The following is a 15,040-nucleotide window of genomic DNA, read 5'->3' as shown; positions in this document are numbered from 1 at the left end:
TGCTTTTGAGGGCATCCCTTGACATAGACTGAGTTCTCACTCATTACTATGGCATTTAGAGCACTTTACTCCAACCTACATTTCCAGTCTCTTTTTCTGGTATAAAATATTTTATAACAAATTTTTAGAAAGAGTATTGTCTTTATTACAGACAGACAGACAGGAGCCAAACCCTGGCTGTGCGCCTTTCAGCTGGTAACTTTGAGCATGTTACTCTGCCTCAGCAGCAATAATACAATGGTTGAGAGCAAGGACCCAGGAGTCCCTCCACCTGATGTCACCTCTTATTGGTGACAAAACCCTGGGTAAATGACTTAAGCACTCTAGACCTCAGGTTCCTCATCTTAAAAACGATCTTTGCATCTGTGTAGTTGAACTGTTATGCAGTTTAAATGAATCAATTCATGTAGAATGTTTACAACAGTGCCTAATATATAGTACGTGTTAAATAGGTGTTTGCTCTTATTATATGAGCACCCGCTTTCCACATCTGTAAAATGGGGGTAATACTACCCACTTATCACACAGAGGTATTTTGTAGTTAAGTAAAATGATATAAGATCATCCATGTGAAAGCACCTAGAATAACTTCTGGTATAGATTAGATATTCAGTTCTTTCCATTACCCAGATTTCAACTTAAAACTTATTTCTGCCTCTTGGGAGTTTCTATAGCCATTTGTTTGTAGCATAAATACAGCATCAAGTCACTCTATATTATAATTATAATCATATATATGTACACACATGCATTCTCTATATATAGAATGCATATGTATACATGTGTGTAGATACATATGTTTGTATATGCATGTACTTTAAAAAAATTGTTAGCTTCTTCTTGAGGGAGGGAGATATGAATTATTTACCTCCAGATCACTAACTCATGACTCAGTGACTTTGAGTGTGTTACGCTGCCCCAGTAGCAGTAACATAATTGTTGAGAGCATTCTGTTACTACAACAGGTGCAGATGGGTGAGACAGTATAGGTAATTATTATGAATGCTGCCTCTTGAGACAAACACAGGTCTAAATCTCAGCCCTGCCCCTTACTAGCCACAGGATCTTGGCAGATTACTTACTCTCTCTAGTGATACTACCCTCCACATAGGGCTTGATGAGGAGCGGACAAGATACTCAAACATAAAGGACAGTGACTTGATCATAATAAAAGCTCCATAAATGTTGCCTGGTAATCATACTTTACAGATACTTGTTAACCTTAATTGTTTTCTTGGGAATGCATAAGCTTCAATACCCTGACTCTGTTAAAAAATTTTACAGTTCTTTTATTCCTTTAGATTATGATATGGATGGATGATGGAAGGAAGGATCTATGAATATAATATTTGAGTTTCAGTTACTGGCCTTTACTTCTTCCAGAAAGTCAGGCCAAAAGGTAAGGACTGAAATGGGAAGCTCTATAATGAAGGGCAGGGTGAAGGGGAACCTTCCTTATTTTCGCTAATAAATAAGACAGAGAGGCCACCCTATGATAAGGGAACAACCTTTTCTGTCATGTCTTCATTGAAATTGAAGAAACGAAATGAGCACTGACGGAGAAGGGTGATGTCACCCTGTCATCTGCTGTCCCTGAAATACCACTTCCTCTTGGTGGGAGCATGACGAGACAACACAGAAACGCAGTTTGGTCCCTCTCAGAGGGACTGTCAGCTCTTCAGATGCTCACATGCAATGAAAGGGTGTCACTGATGAACCCAGCTACCTAATCCTAGAGGAAAAATAGAAGACATAACATACAGAAATACATAAGACAACAGAAGAGGGCTGTTATTTGCAGACAAATACTCTTAAAGGTATTTTATAGTATGCCCTCAGCCCCATCACCACCACACACAGACACTACCATCCAGTTTTACAAAAATAAATTTTGTGTGTCAGATTTGTGCTAGGCATTGTTTTAGATGCTGTAGGAAATCCTGGTGGGGCAAAGGCAAAGATTTGTCTGACCTAGTAATGCCCTTAAGAAAGTTTATATTCTAGTGGAAAGATAGAAGTGTTCCAAGGTCATTGATAACCTATGAAATGATGCATAATAAACACATGAAGAGTAAGCAAAGAGCCATGGGACCCTGAGGAGGAAGGCTTCTCCCGGGTGAAGGGAATTAACATCTGTTAATTTATATACAAAGTCTATGAAATCAGTGTGTTGAAGAGATATCTGCACTTCCATATTCACTGCAGCACTCTTTACAATAGCCAAGCCATGGAATCAACCTAAGTGTCCATCAACATAAGAATGGATAAAGAAAATGTGCTGTATAGGCACAGTAGAATACTATTCAGCCTTAAAAAAGAAGGAAATGCTGTCATTTGTAACAAAATGAAATAAACATGGAGGACATTATGTTAAGTGAAATAAGCCAGGCACAGAAAGACAAACACAATATGATCCCACTTATATGTGGAATCTACAAATGTTGAACTCATAGAAACCAAGAGTAAAATGGTGGTCACCAGAGACTGGGGTTAGAGAGATTGAGGAGATGTTGGTCAAAGGACACAGAATTTCAGTTAGACAGGAGGAATAAGGTTAAGAGATCTATTGTGCATCATGGTGACTATATTGTGTACTGGAACATTGCTAACAGAGTAGATTTTGAGTATTCTCACCACAAAAGTAGGTGAGGTAATGTGTACGTTAATTAGTTTAATTTAGCCATTCCACAATGTATACATATGTCAAAACATGTTGTACACCATAAATATATGTATTTTTTACTTGTTAATTAAAAACTTCTTTAAAAACAGAAGCTATTATGTGGCACATGCTATGCTGGGAATTTTACCCATTTTTTTTTTCCAACAGGAAAATTGAATGAGGTCAGTATTATTAACTCTTTGACAATGGGTTATTTGGAACCTCAAAGAGTTTAAGTAACTTGCCTGCGTCATGCATTAGCAGTAGTCAAGGTAGCACCCAGCTCCAAGGCTGTCTGATGTCAGAGTCTTGGCAGTTTCCTTTCCACTAGAGATAACAGAAGGCAGCTTTTGACTGGGGCTTGAAAAATTTCAACAGGTGGAAAAAAGGAATGTAAAGTGGACAACAAGAGAAGGCTTGTCACTCCAAGGAAAGGATGGTGTGTCACGAGATAACCCAACACTGCCTCATCCGTATCATCCATGTTGCCATTAAACAGATCACACACTACAAGACAGGCCCTGTACTTGTCCTTAAGAGATATGGGTGCATAGGACAAAAACCCCTAACCTTGCACATATGAGTCGAAATATATCTGAGGAATCATGCAGAATATGGAGTATATTCAATGCCTAATGTGGCATTGATGTGTTATGAATCATGGTTATTTTATCTAAAAGAGAATGACTGAGAATATGAAGAGGTATGAGAAGGCACTGGCCTGGAATTTGGAGGATCTCAGGCTGGCCTTGATTACTACATCCTGACTTTGTGACTCTGGGCAAGTCACATCCATTCTCTGGCCTGAGTTTCTTCATGGGGGGAGTGAAGGTTTAATTTACATGATTTTGAACATCTTCCTTCCAGCTCAAAGCAGACACTGAGGAGCTTTGCTAAATTAATTTTGTTCTAACAGGTCTTCTTTTGAGTATTCTCCCCCATTTCTCCCCCAAGATGGCTAATGCTGTTTCTTGGAAACATTGATTGCACACCTCCACCCTACCTCAGAGGGGAGGGGAGCCAAGCAAAAGTGTCTCTCTGAGGAGGAAGGTGGAGTTGCCCACCTGCCCAGGGCAGTAAACATTCCTCCCTGGCAGTCAGCTGACTGTGGTTGGGGAAACCCAGCCTGGAAGATCTCTAAGGCTGTATCTCCGTGCCTGAAAATGACACTACAACCCTGCATTATTCACCCAGCTACCAACTGTGTTTACAAAATAGGACTGGCAAGTTCTGGATAATTGGCCACTCCTGGCTAAAATTATAAAGTCACTACGTCATTGTGCTTCAGCACAGTGGAAACAACAAGAGGTAGAAAATGGATTCATTTGAGGCCAATTTTAAACATTTAGGTCATTTATTACCACTGAATCCCTAATTCTTTCTGTGTTCACAGTAAACGTCAGCTTATTCTTGGACTGCTAAATACACAGACTAAATGATCTCTTCTGAGGTACTCTGTTGGAAGGCTGGCTACCTTGTGCTTTTATTGAGCATTTAAAAGCCTTGAGTTTCATTCTTACCTCTGACACTAACTCTCTGTGTCATCTCAGATAAGCCACTAACCTCTTTGTGCCAATTTTTCTCATTGGTAAGATGAGGAAGTTGGACAAGATCTGTAGTTTCATTCACTAGCTTTAAAAACTTTTTTTTTTTTTTTACCATTGATCCCACATTTTGAAACATTCTCACTCTCAAAAATTTACATTTATTAAGTAAAAATTAATACTAGGAAAAACACTGCTTAAGTAATAATTAACATTAGAAAAACGCAGCTTTTCCTAGTATTTTCATTGACCATAGATTTCTATAATTTCTAGTCAGAAGTTCTGATAACAGTGAGGTACCCAGTGTGACCACATTGAGATGATGTCATTCCAGACATAAGAGAAGACACGTGACATTTTCTCTCACCTGGGTGGGGAGGCCGACCACAGGAACACTTGTGATTTCTGGAAAGATGTGGAAGGTTGAAAAGAGCTGGAGGAACCAAATTGTCAAAAGCACAGGCAGACCTGGGTTTAGAGTTTCATTTTACCATTTGGTAGCTATGTGACTTTAGGAAAATGACTTAACTTCTCTCAGCCTCATCATTCTCATTTTTAAAGTAGAGATAATCAGGAAATTGTATGTACCCTGGCTATCTCACAAGTTTTTTTCTAACAGTTAAATTAAATAATGCATTTGGAAAGTTGTTCAAAACTGCAAAACCTGAAACAAATGAAAGTTGTTACTCCTAGTGTTGTAAATATTCTCATTCCAAATATTATTAGAATATTAGATTGTAACTGACAACTTCTCAGACTCATATTCCACCATCCATCCTGTTAGATGTATGAAATAATTTGACTCTGCTTCTTTCCTTTATTCATAAACTAATTTTTTTCTTATTATTATTAACTTTGTGGTAAAATTCACATTAAACTTACCATTTTAAGATGTAAAATGCAGGGCTATTAATATAGTCACAGTGTTATGCAACCATTACCACTATCTAGTTCCAGAATATTTTCGTCACCCCAAATAAAATCCTATACCTATTAAGCAATTGCTCCTCATTCTACCCTCTACTCCCCCTCTAGCCTCTGGCAAACCGCCAGTTGACTTTGTGTGTCTATGGATTTTCCTTTTCTGAGCATTTCATATTAGTGGAATCATACAGAATGTGGGTCTTTTGTGTCTGACTTCTTTCCCTTAGCATAATGTTTCCAACCTTCATCCATGTTGTAGCATGTATAGAACTTTATTTCTTTTTAGAGCTGAATAATATTCCATTGTATGAATATGCCACACAGAGTGGTTTTAACTCTTGTGGATTATTGCCTTCTTTGAAAATCTGATGACATGCACAAACACACTCTTCTCCCCACAAAACTGCATGTAATTTCAAGGCATTGAAAGAGACCCCCAAGTCCATTAATGTACCCCAGATTAAGATCTCCTGCTCAAGTAAGAGAACTTTTCCTGAATTATCCTATTCATTCATTCACTCATTCACTCATTCATTCATTCATTCATTCTAACCATTCATTTATAATTACTAATTGTATGTAAAGTGCTTTTCTATGGTGGAAGGCATGAGAATAAAAGTGAGAAAAAAGTGGACACTCGTGGAGCTTACTTTCTAGCGGTGGGAAGCAAATAAATTCAATCTGATTTTTACCATTGATCCCACATTTTGAAACATTCTCACTCTCAAAAATTTACATTTATTAAGTAATAATTAATACTAGGAAAATATATTAATAAAAATAATTAATATGGGAAGCAAATAAATTCAATCTGATTATTATTCCAGGAGAGGAATAATACTAAATAATAATTATTAATTATAGTAATAATTATTATTATTCCAGAAAAGGAATAATCTAGCAAAGAGGTCTAGATAATGTTCCTTCTTCCTGTGATAGCGGCAATTCTATCTTTAAATTATGAAACAATTCAGGTGAACATGTGGATTTTCTCAAATTTTTCTTTCAAAAAGGCTACAGTTTGCTATGTTTCATAGTAATTGAGAGCACAGGCTTGGGAGCCAGAGTCTACCTTTTCCATGAAATATCTGTTTCACCCCCACCCCAGAAAGTTAGTTACCTCTCTTCATATATTTTCATCTATAAAATGGTAATAATAATCCTATATAATTTATCCTTTTTACAACAACCCTACTCAATGAAATAAAGTATGTAAAACAACTAAGACACCTGAAATACAGATTTTGCTCAATAAATGGGGGATCATTTGTTTACCAAACAATTGCCCATTGCCATTCTCTCCTGAAGTAAAGCTCCTTTGCATGCTGCTTAACCATGGGGAAAAAGGAAGTGTTCTGTCACATGTGTTGTTTTAGTCAGAAAAAGAAGGAAGTGGGACGTGTCTTACAAGGCTGGAAGAAAAGGAGCTGGGCTGTTTCAGCCCCACCAGTACATACTGGTTGATGTTTCACCTCTCTGTCTCTATTTTGAGAATCATTCTGGATTTTCCTGAGATTTGGGTTCATGATGTCTTGTTTCTGCCTTAAAGGCAGAATCTCCCTTACCCAGCCTCTTCCTTCTGTTTTCTTCTGGGTCTCTGCTTTAGAGAATTCTTCCCTGGCCTTGTTTTCTCCTCTCCCTCCCCAGCCCTGTCACTCAATTCCCCTTATCCTGCTTTCTTTCTCTTCATGGCATTTAACACAATTTTTAATCTCTAGTGCATAGAACAGGGCTGGGCACTAGCAGACACTCAAGGAAATATTTATTGGACAGACCAATTTATTGAAAATCTCAGTATTCATGAATTTTGTATTTCCTGCCCACTTGCTGTTAGGTGTGGCTCAATTACTCATTTTGACTAATGAACTGTACTGAGTGGAAGTGACAATGTATCACTCTCAGGCAGATCCTTAATGAGCCAGGGCAAGCTATTGATTCTCTTTCCTTCTGTTGTGTAGCTAACCATATGTGAGATTGTGGCTGCATTGTCATCCCAAGTCCCAGAGTGGCTACAATGAGTGGAGCCTCCCCTAATTTCTTGTGATAGGGATGTTACATAAAAAAGAAATAAATCTTTACTGTTTTAAGCCACAGAGCTTTGTGGGTTATTTGTTACTACAGCATAACCTATATTTTCCTGACTGATACAAGTGCCAACCTTATAATTTAGTCTCTTACTCTCTCCCCACAAAAGAGATCTGGTAACACTCAACTTCAAATAAAAAACCCATGATTAGAAAAAATAGATGTGGCATTATAGTACTATCTTAGGTCGCATCTACGTCTAATTTATTCACAAGATGTCTACAGAATGATCATTGGTCAGCTCCTACTTCATGTACCGCACTTTAGCACTGGAGAATGAGATTAAGTTTTAGAAATCATTTCCTTCAGGTAGCAGAGGTTTCTCCACATGAGACCTCCCTACCCCACCCCCATCCCCAGGCCCTGTGCAATTTGTTCTTCCTCAGCCTCCACTGCAATGACTAAATCTGCACAGTCTCTGACCAACGTTAGCCCTTTTATGTTCATAAGACAGACAATTATCTCAATGCTCAATTGCAGATTAATTGAAGTGCTGGTATAGTAGAAGAAAAAAGATTTTGCATCAGAGAACTTTGGTTCAATCCATGAACCAAAAAGCTCCATGATCTTGAGTAAATTGCTTAGTTTTTCTGAACCAAAGGACCCCAATTATAAAATTGGGATGACAATGTGAGTCTAACCAAAATTCTTGCAGATAGATGTGTTTTGGAATTCAGAATTTTTTAGATTTTAGAAAGGTAATATGTTGCATATGATGCATAAATTGAAACAAACCAAGTAAGACCTGGGAAGCCCTTCAAAACGAAACACGTTACTATTTCTGCATCAAAATGTATCATAGTCAAGTAAATGGGACAAAGACTATGAAGAGGCTTTGTCATTACATGAGTTTTCCCAGAACTTTTGGTTTTCAGAGTTTTAGAAAAAAATTATGAACAAGGTATTGTGGGCCTGTAGCTGTATTTTAGGTTGTTACTATTTCATTATTATGTTATTATTTCAAATAATATGTTATTATCTCATTTTTGATGTATATAAAATGAAATAAAATAATGTATATAAAAATAAAGTCATGTATATAAAAAGGATATTTTGTAGAATGTATATAAAAGGGACATTTGAACAATGTCGCCATAAAAATGAGAATTGTTATATCCTCACAGCACAGAATTAGTAGTTCATTCAATAACATTCCACATAACATTCAAAAATAACAGTAATATGCAGTTAACATCTACAATATGTTAGTCATTTCTCTAGGTGCTGGCACTTATGTTACCAATAAATCAAAGCTGAATTTCTTCTCATCAATCTCTTTCCCAAAAGATGCATGTGCTTCTGTGTAATCCTTTTGTCTTAGTCTGCTTGAGCGCTGTAACAAAATACTTTAGACTAAGTAATTTTTAAACAACAGAAATTTATTGCTCACAGTTCTAGAGGTTAGGAAGTCCAAAATCAAGGTGTCAGCAGATTTGGTACTGGTGAGGGCTCACAGATAGTGCCTTCTGGCTGCATCCTCACATGGTGGAAGGCGTGAACAATCTCCCTCAAGCCTCTTTTGTAAGAGCACCTATCTCATTCATGAGGACTCCATCCTCCTGGCCTAATGACTTCCCAAAAGCCCCAGGTCTTAATACTATTGCATTGTGAATTAGGTTTCAACACATGAATTTGGGGGGAAACACAGACATTCAGACCACAGTAACTTTCCTACATGTGCGCACACACAGAGCCAGACTTTTGATAGTTTCTTATGCTTATTAAGATACTTCTTTATTTGGGGCTTTAAAAAATGTGTCAGATAAATTAAGTTCTCTACTTTTCAGAACAAAGTCCTAGAAGGTCTTCTGGTGAGTCACATTCTGAGCAGCAAAACTGGCATTGAGGCATAATTAACATTCAGATTGCCCCCAGTTTCTATGGAGATGAGTCTAGCCCCTCGGGGGAGTAGTGATGGATGTGTAATCTCCAAGATAAGTAACTGACAGGTAAGAAATTTTTCTTTCTCAGATGCATTAATTATTCACATTCATTATTCATCAAACACTGCGAATTTCTATTTGGAAATTGGACCAAATAGAGATATTCTTCCTGGTCCACTTCCTATAATCAAATTCTCCTAGGGACTGCTGAGAGTTTGAATAGGTCTGCTGTTTGGTCTAGTTTAATGGCAGGTGTTTGTTTAGTGTCACCAGATGATGGAATAAAGACTAAACACCTTGTGGACTACAGAAGCAAAGACTTGCATGGGCTTCATCCTCTCTAGGTACTGATATTTCCTTCTTACTGTTTTCTCCTTCTAGAATGTAAGCTTAGTAACAACTCAGACCTTGCTTGTCTTGTTCACCAGTGCATCTCCAAGCTCCTATAACAGAGTATAGACACTTGATAAATATTTTTTGAATGAATGAATGAGGTTTGGGTCAGGGGATGGCAAAGTCCATCAGAGTGAATGCATATGGGAACTGTCAAATGGGAGATCCAGCCCTGGTTCTTTAATGGGAATTGCTGTCCACATCCTTCCCTGGCTAAGATAAAACATACAAGGGGCACAGAGAGAAGTAATTGGGGCAAGACCCTTAGTCCTTTCCATGATTGGCACCTCTTGGCACATTCTTTAAGTCAATTCTTATTGCAAACATTGTCTTTTTATCAGTGTATCTGAATGTAGACCTGTATTTTGCCTGATATATATCCTGGGACCATGGTCAGTCAAGAATTACTGATGGCCTCAACAGGCCAGGCTTTGAAACCGCACACAGTGCCTAGTCTCAATATAGAGCCATGGCCCAAGGTCAGTTCTCTAAGAATTAATTTGAGGAAACAAATTCACTGAATGCCTATTTGCCTAATGACCAATCTTCCAAAAACAGACTTTCTATAATAGGATCGACTTAAAAAGTGGGCAGCCATTGGGGTTCTATGGGATGGTTTCAAGGGCCTTTGAGTTTTCCAATAGTGTCTTTTTTGCTCCATTAGTCTTACCTTCATTAGAGCCACCTCTTCACGGCAAGTCAAAGCTTCATGTTGTATAGGTTTTTGGATCTGTGACTTTTTGGCATGAGGATTTTTTTTTTTTTTTATATTTCAAATCAGGTGTTGTGTATGTCTTAAATGTCAGGAATATTACAAAAGATAGAGCAGGTGTCTCTTGTCTAACACATTCCAAATCTAGTTTACTGCCTAAATACATGTTAACTGGTTCAAACAAATTAATATTTTGTTTGGGCTTTGAGCAAACCCAAAAGTATTTTAGGATCTAAATTATTAAATACAAAAGAAATGAATGTTCAGTCACCTTGGACTAATAGGGCTAAGTGGCTAAAACGATATAGTTGTAAGAAAGCTAAAAACTAATTGTGTTTCTTAGTAACACATCCTTTCATTCATTCATTAATTCAACATATTGAGTCTCTTTTTGTTGCCAGGCTGTATTCTAGGAACTCAAAATGAAAGAAAAATAGGATATGTTTCTTACTTTAGAGACCACAGAAACTAGTCTCCTATATTGGACCTTCTTGGTAAGAGGTAGGATTTATTCTCTTGAATTCATTGACTTTTTTTGGTGCTCATCCTTTTATTCCATTCTACCTTCTACTTTACAAGTATAACTTATATGCCTTAACTGTACTGATTTTTACCTTCATGGCCTATCCTAATTCTCATGAAAATGCCCTTTCTCGTCTCACATATGCTCACTGTATCACTGGAGACCTCAGTTTTAGCCTCTCAGCCTCTTTCTGTCCTTTCTTGCTCTGGCAGCCCCATCCCTTCAAAGGCCACATGAATCTGAAGGCCAATATTCAAGTCCTATGCTGTTATTATCAACTTGGATGCAGCGAGTCATCTGACCTGACCTGTGGACACAGCCTCTGCATCTGTTGAGAGGATTAAAGAAGTCTAATTCACAGTTACTGCAAGTATAATGGAGCTGAGAGGATGGTGTGAGCAATAGCACCAATGTAAGAGTTATCATAGATTAACACACTACTGGTTCTGATGCAGCACATAAGGCAAGTACCATGGGAATGCAGAGGAGAAAGAAATTAGGGAGATCAACAAGGTTTCACAAAGCAGCTATGGTGAACTTGGCCTTGAGAGTAGGGTTTTCCTGGTGAAGAAAAACATTCTAGGCAGAAGAAATAGCATACACAAAGACTCAGAGGCACCAAAGAGTCCTGTGTGTGTGGTGAATAATGAACAGAAATTGCCATAGATTAGGTGGGAAGTCATTGGTGTTAATTTATAGGTTTGATAGAAGCCAATTCTTGAAGGGTTTTGTATGCCACAGTAAAGGACAGAGTTTTATTTAAGGAGCCACTGAAAAGCTTCATTCATTCTACAAATAACTTTTTCGGTGAGCCAGTATGTGCCAAGCATGGTTGTAAGTACTTGTAATACATCAGAATAATAATAAAAAGAGTATTCATGTACCCACCACCCAATTTAAAAACTAAGAAATTGTCAATCCTTATGTAAGTCTCTGTGTTTCCCTTGTCAATGGAATCCTTCTCCTTGCTCCCCAAAAGTAACCCAAACGCTAAGTTTTGTGTTTGTCATTTTCTTGTTTTTCATTTCAGTTTTACTCATATGTGAGGAAAGGGGCTTAAGAAATATTTGCTCAATTGATAAATAAAAATAAAAATATATGCCCCTGTGTGGGTGGTCTCCAGGGCCCTTTCTCACAGATATTGCTTCTACTTCTGTTGTTGTAATTCCAGTGCTCCCAACCAGTCTTCCATCCTCAGTTTTCTTGACTTATATGCTGGTGTATCTCTGTATGAAATTGTTCTATTTACTATTGAAGTAACTTTATACAAATTACTCTTGGAATCCCTTTTCTTTGACATAGCACCTATTTATAATTTTTATCTCTTCTTTCTATCTTTATCCACACGTAAGTGGAATAATCACAATTGTAGATATTTTACATTTTGTGCTTCAGTTTTTCACTTTGTACGTTTCTGTAGTTTTTGTATTTCTAGTCTTTGTATTAATTATTTTTATGACTGCACAATATTCTATCAAGCAAATATATTATAATTTGTTTGATCATAATTAAATTGCTGGATAGTCAGGCTGCTTCCCATTTTAAATGATTGTAAGTAGCATTGCTGCAAAAACCTTTTCACTTAAAAGATTTTTTGTCTTTTATTTCCTTAGGATATATTTTCATAAATGAGATTATTCAGTCAAAGGCTTGATGAATTTTGTGGCTCTTGTTACCTGAGGGGCTTGCTTTATTTTTAACATAATTGTTTCTTTTTCTGATTATAAAAGTAATTCATGCTCATTTCTGAAAGATATGGAAATGTATAAGGAAACAAAGAAACTCTCATAATCTTTCCCCACAAAGGTAACCATCATTACCTTTTTAAGAAATTACCTTAAATTTTTATTTCATCATTAACATCTGATATATTTCTTTCAACATTTATAAAATTGGAATTATATATTATTTTGTAACCTGTTTTTTAAACTTGATCATCAGCTTTTCCCAAGCTATTGAATATTTTTCAAAGAAAGTGTTTTTTAATGGCCACATAGTACTGTGTTGTGTGGCTGAGTATTAATCCCTTGTTATTGAACTTTTTGATGTTGTAAATGAAAATTCTTATATAAACCTTCATGAGAATTCTGATTGTTTTCTTAGTGCAAATGTTTGGAAGTAAAACACAAAATGAAGGATATGAAAACCCTCAGTTTTTGATCCATGCAGGAATCATGCTTCTTGACTCATAGTAGTCCTTTGCTACCCTATACTTTGCTACTTCTATTGCTGCTGTAACAGAGTACCACAAATTGAGTGATTTACACCAGGGATCCCCAACCCCCAGTCCCCACAGCAGGAGGTGAGCAGTGGGCTGGTGAGCATTACAGTCTGAGATCCACCTCCTGTCAGATCAGCAGTGGTATTAGATTCTCATAGGAGCACTAACCCTATTGCGAACTGCACATGTGAGGGATCTAGTTTGCATGCTCCTTACGAGAATCTAATGCCTGATGATCTGTTGCTGTCTCCCATCACCCTCAGATGGGACTGTCTAGTTGCAGGAAAACAAGCTCAGGGTTCCCACTGATGTCACATTACAATGAGTTGTGTGTGTATTTCATTATATATTAAATGTAATAATAATAGAAACAGAGTGCACAATAAATGTAATGTGCTTGAATCATCCCCATACCATCCCCCCACATTCTGGTCTGTGGAAAAATTGTCTTCCATGAAACCAGTCCCTGGTGCCAAAAAGGTTGGGGACCACTGACTTAAACAATACAATAATATCTTACAGTTATGGAGGTCAGAAGTCCAAAATGGGTTCCACTGGGTTACAGTCCAAGTGCCTGAGGGTGGTATCCTTTCCGAAGGCAGTAAGCCAAATCCATTTCCTTGCCTTTTCTAACTTTCTGGAGGCTGCCTGCATTCTTTGGCTCATGGCTCCTTCCTCCAGTTTCAAAACTAGCAATGATGAGCCAACCCCTCCTCACACTATTGTCTCTCTGGCTCTCTCTTCCACCTCCCTCTTCCATGGATCTGCATGATTACATGGAGCCCACCTGGATTTCCAGTGTTTTTCACATGCCCAGACACAAAACAGGTGCATGGTAAGCATTAGACTGATGATGTGACAGCACATCAGGTAGGAAGGAACACTGGGCTGTGAGTTCTGTTGCTGTGACCTTTGGGCTTGGGCAGGTCACTCAGTTCCATTCCATCCAATTGAGTTGGCATTTGTAGCATCCTGTGACAGGTCAGGCCCTAGGAAACAAGCTGAAGACATAAAGAATTGGGATACAAAATCTCTGCCCTCAAGTAACCTTCAAAATGTACCTCTCTTAAACCTTAGGCTTTCATCTATAAAATAGCAACAATAATTGTATTGATCCTACTGGGTTGTCGTGGAGGTAAGATCCAATTAAGTACATGCAAGCAAATTGTAGAGAGCAATTCAAATGTGGAGATTTCTTACTATTTTAAATGTTTGACAGTTGTTTTCCTGAAAAGATAAGGCAGCTTAGGAAGACGATGCATCTCGATAAACTTTTCCTCCATCTTCTGTAAGTGTAATCCGTGATATGATAACCACATCATTGTCAGAGGACCTCTGCATTTCTTTTTCTAGATGTTTATTGAGAGGTCTGAGTTGTAACTATACCTCTGTCTGTATCTGGAATGATACAATTTCCAAAGCCTGTCTAAAGGATTTCTAGTCCTGTGAACTGGCCAATACGATTTCTTGAATCATCGCCCAGTGCGGACCCAATTTATATTTGGAATTTCATGCCATCTTGAAGGAATATCATCCAGTGCCAGGGTCTTCTCTGAACTAATTGGGCTTTGGCAGTGATGTCATTCTGTGGTGGGCGTTTGTGGAGATTATGGCAGCAACAACTCAAATCTCATTTTCGGCAGTGTGTGCCCATGTGTGCAAAGAGGCTGCTCTCTTCCCTCACGTGCAGTCACTCCTCCTGCTGAAGTTTCACTTCTGGTCCCTTTTTGAAGACAGGAGATCAGTTAGCTATTTATACCCCATGGCTAGAAGCACTCCTTCTTTCCATGCTATGTACAATGATGTTTTCTGTTATTAATGTGGCTTAAAATAAAATTAGGCAAAGACATCATCAAACTTATTGAACTTTTAATAAGTAGGAAGCAGTCATAGAATCGTAGAGGGAAGTACCTTCTAGGGTTAAAATTATAGTCTTTGGAAACAAGCAAACCTGTTCGAATGGCTGTCCAGCCACTCCAGCTGTGTGTTTTGGACAACAGACTTGTCCAAGCCTTGATTTCCTTACCTGTAAAATTAGGGTAATATCTTTTGCCTCCTTGGGTTGTGAATTAAATGTCACCCAGATTTATGGC

The 15,040-nt window shown here is 37.8% G+C and overlaps 1 long non-coding RNA gene across 1 annotated transcript in view; it reads left to right on the top strand.

Moving 5' to 3' along the window:
• The window catches only part of LOC101928438 (uncharacterized), a 234,104-nt gene extending 222,301 nt beyond the window's left edge, over positions 1 to 11,803 (top strand). Inside the window, exons 4-7 of the long non-coding RNA NR_109802.1 lie at positions 1,302 to 1,399; positions 9,003 to 9,164; positions 10,605 to 10,704; positions 10,939 to 11,803. This is a non-coding gene — a long non-coding RNA (uncharacterized LOC101928438). The remainder of the gene's footprint in view (positions 1 to 1,301; positions 1,400 to 9,002; positions 9,165 to 10,604; positions 10,705 to 10,938) is intronic.
• Positions 11,804 to 15,040: the final 3,237 nt, after the last annotated feature.

The sequence above is a fragment of the Homo sapiens genome, chromosome 9 (assembly GCF_000001405.40).
Source record: "Homo sapiens chromosome 9, GRCh38.p14 Primary Assembly".
In the NCBI taxonomy this organism is placed as follows: Eukaryota; Metazoa; Chordata; class Mammalia; order Primates; family Hominidae; genus Homo; species Homo sapiens.
Note: the sequence above shows the minus strand (reverse complement) of the source record. Positions and strands in the feature narration are given on the sequence as shown.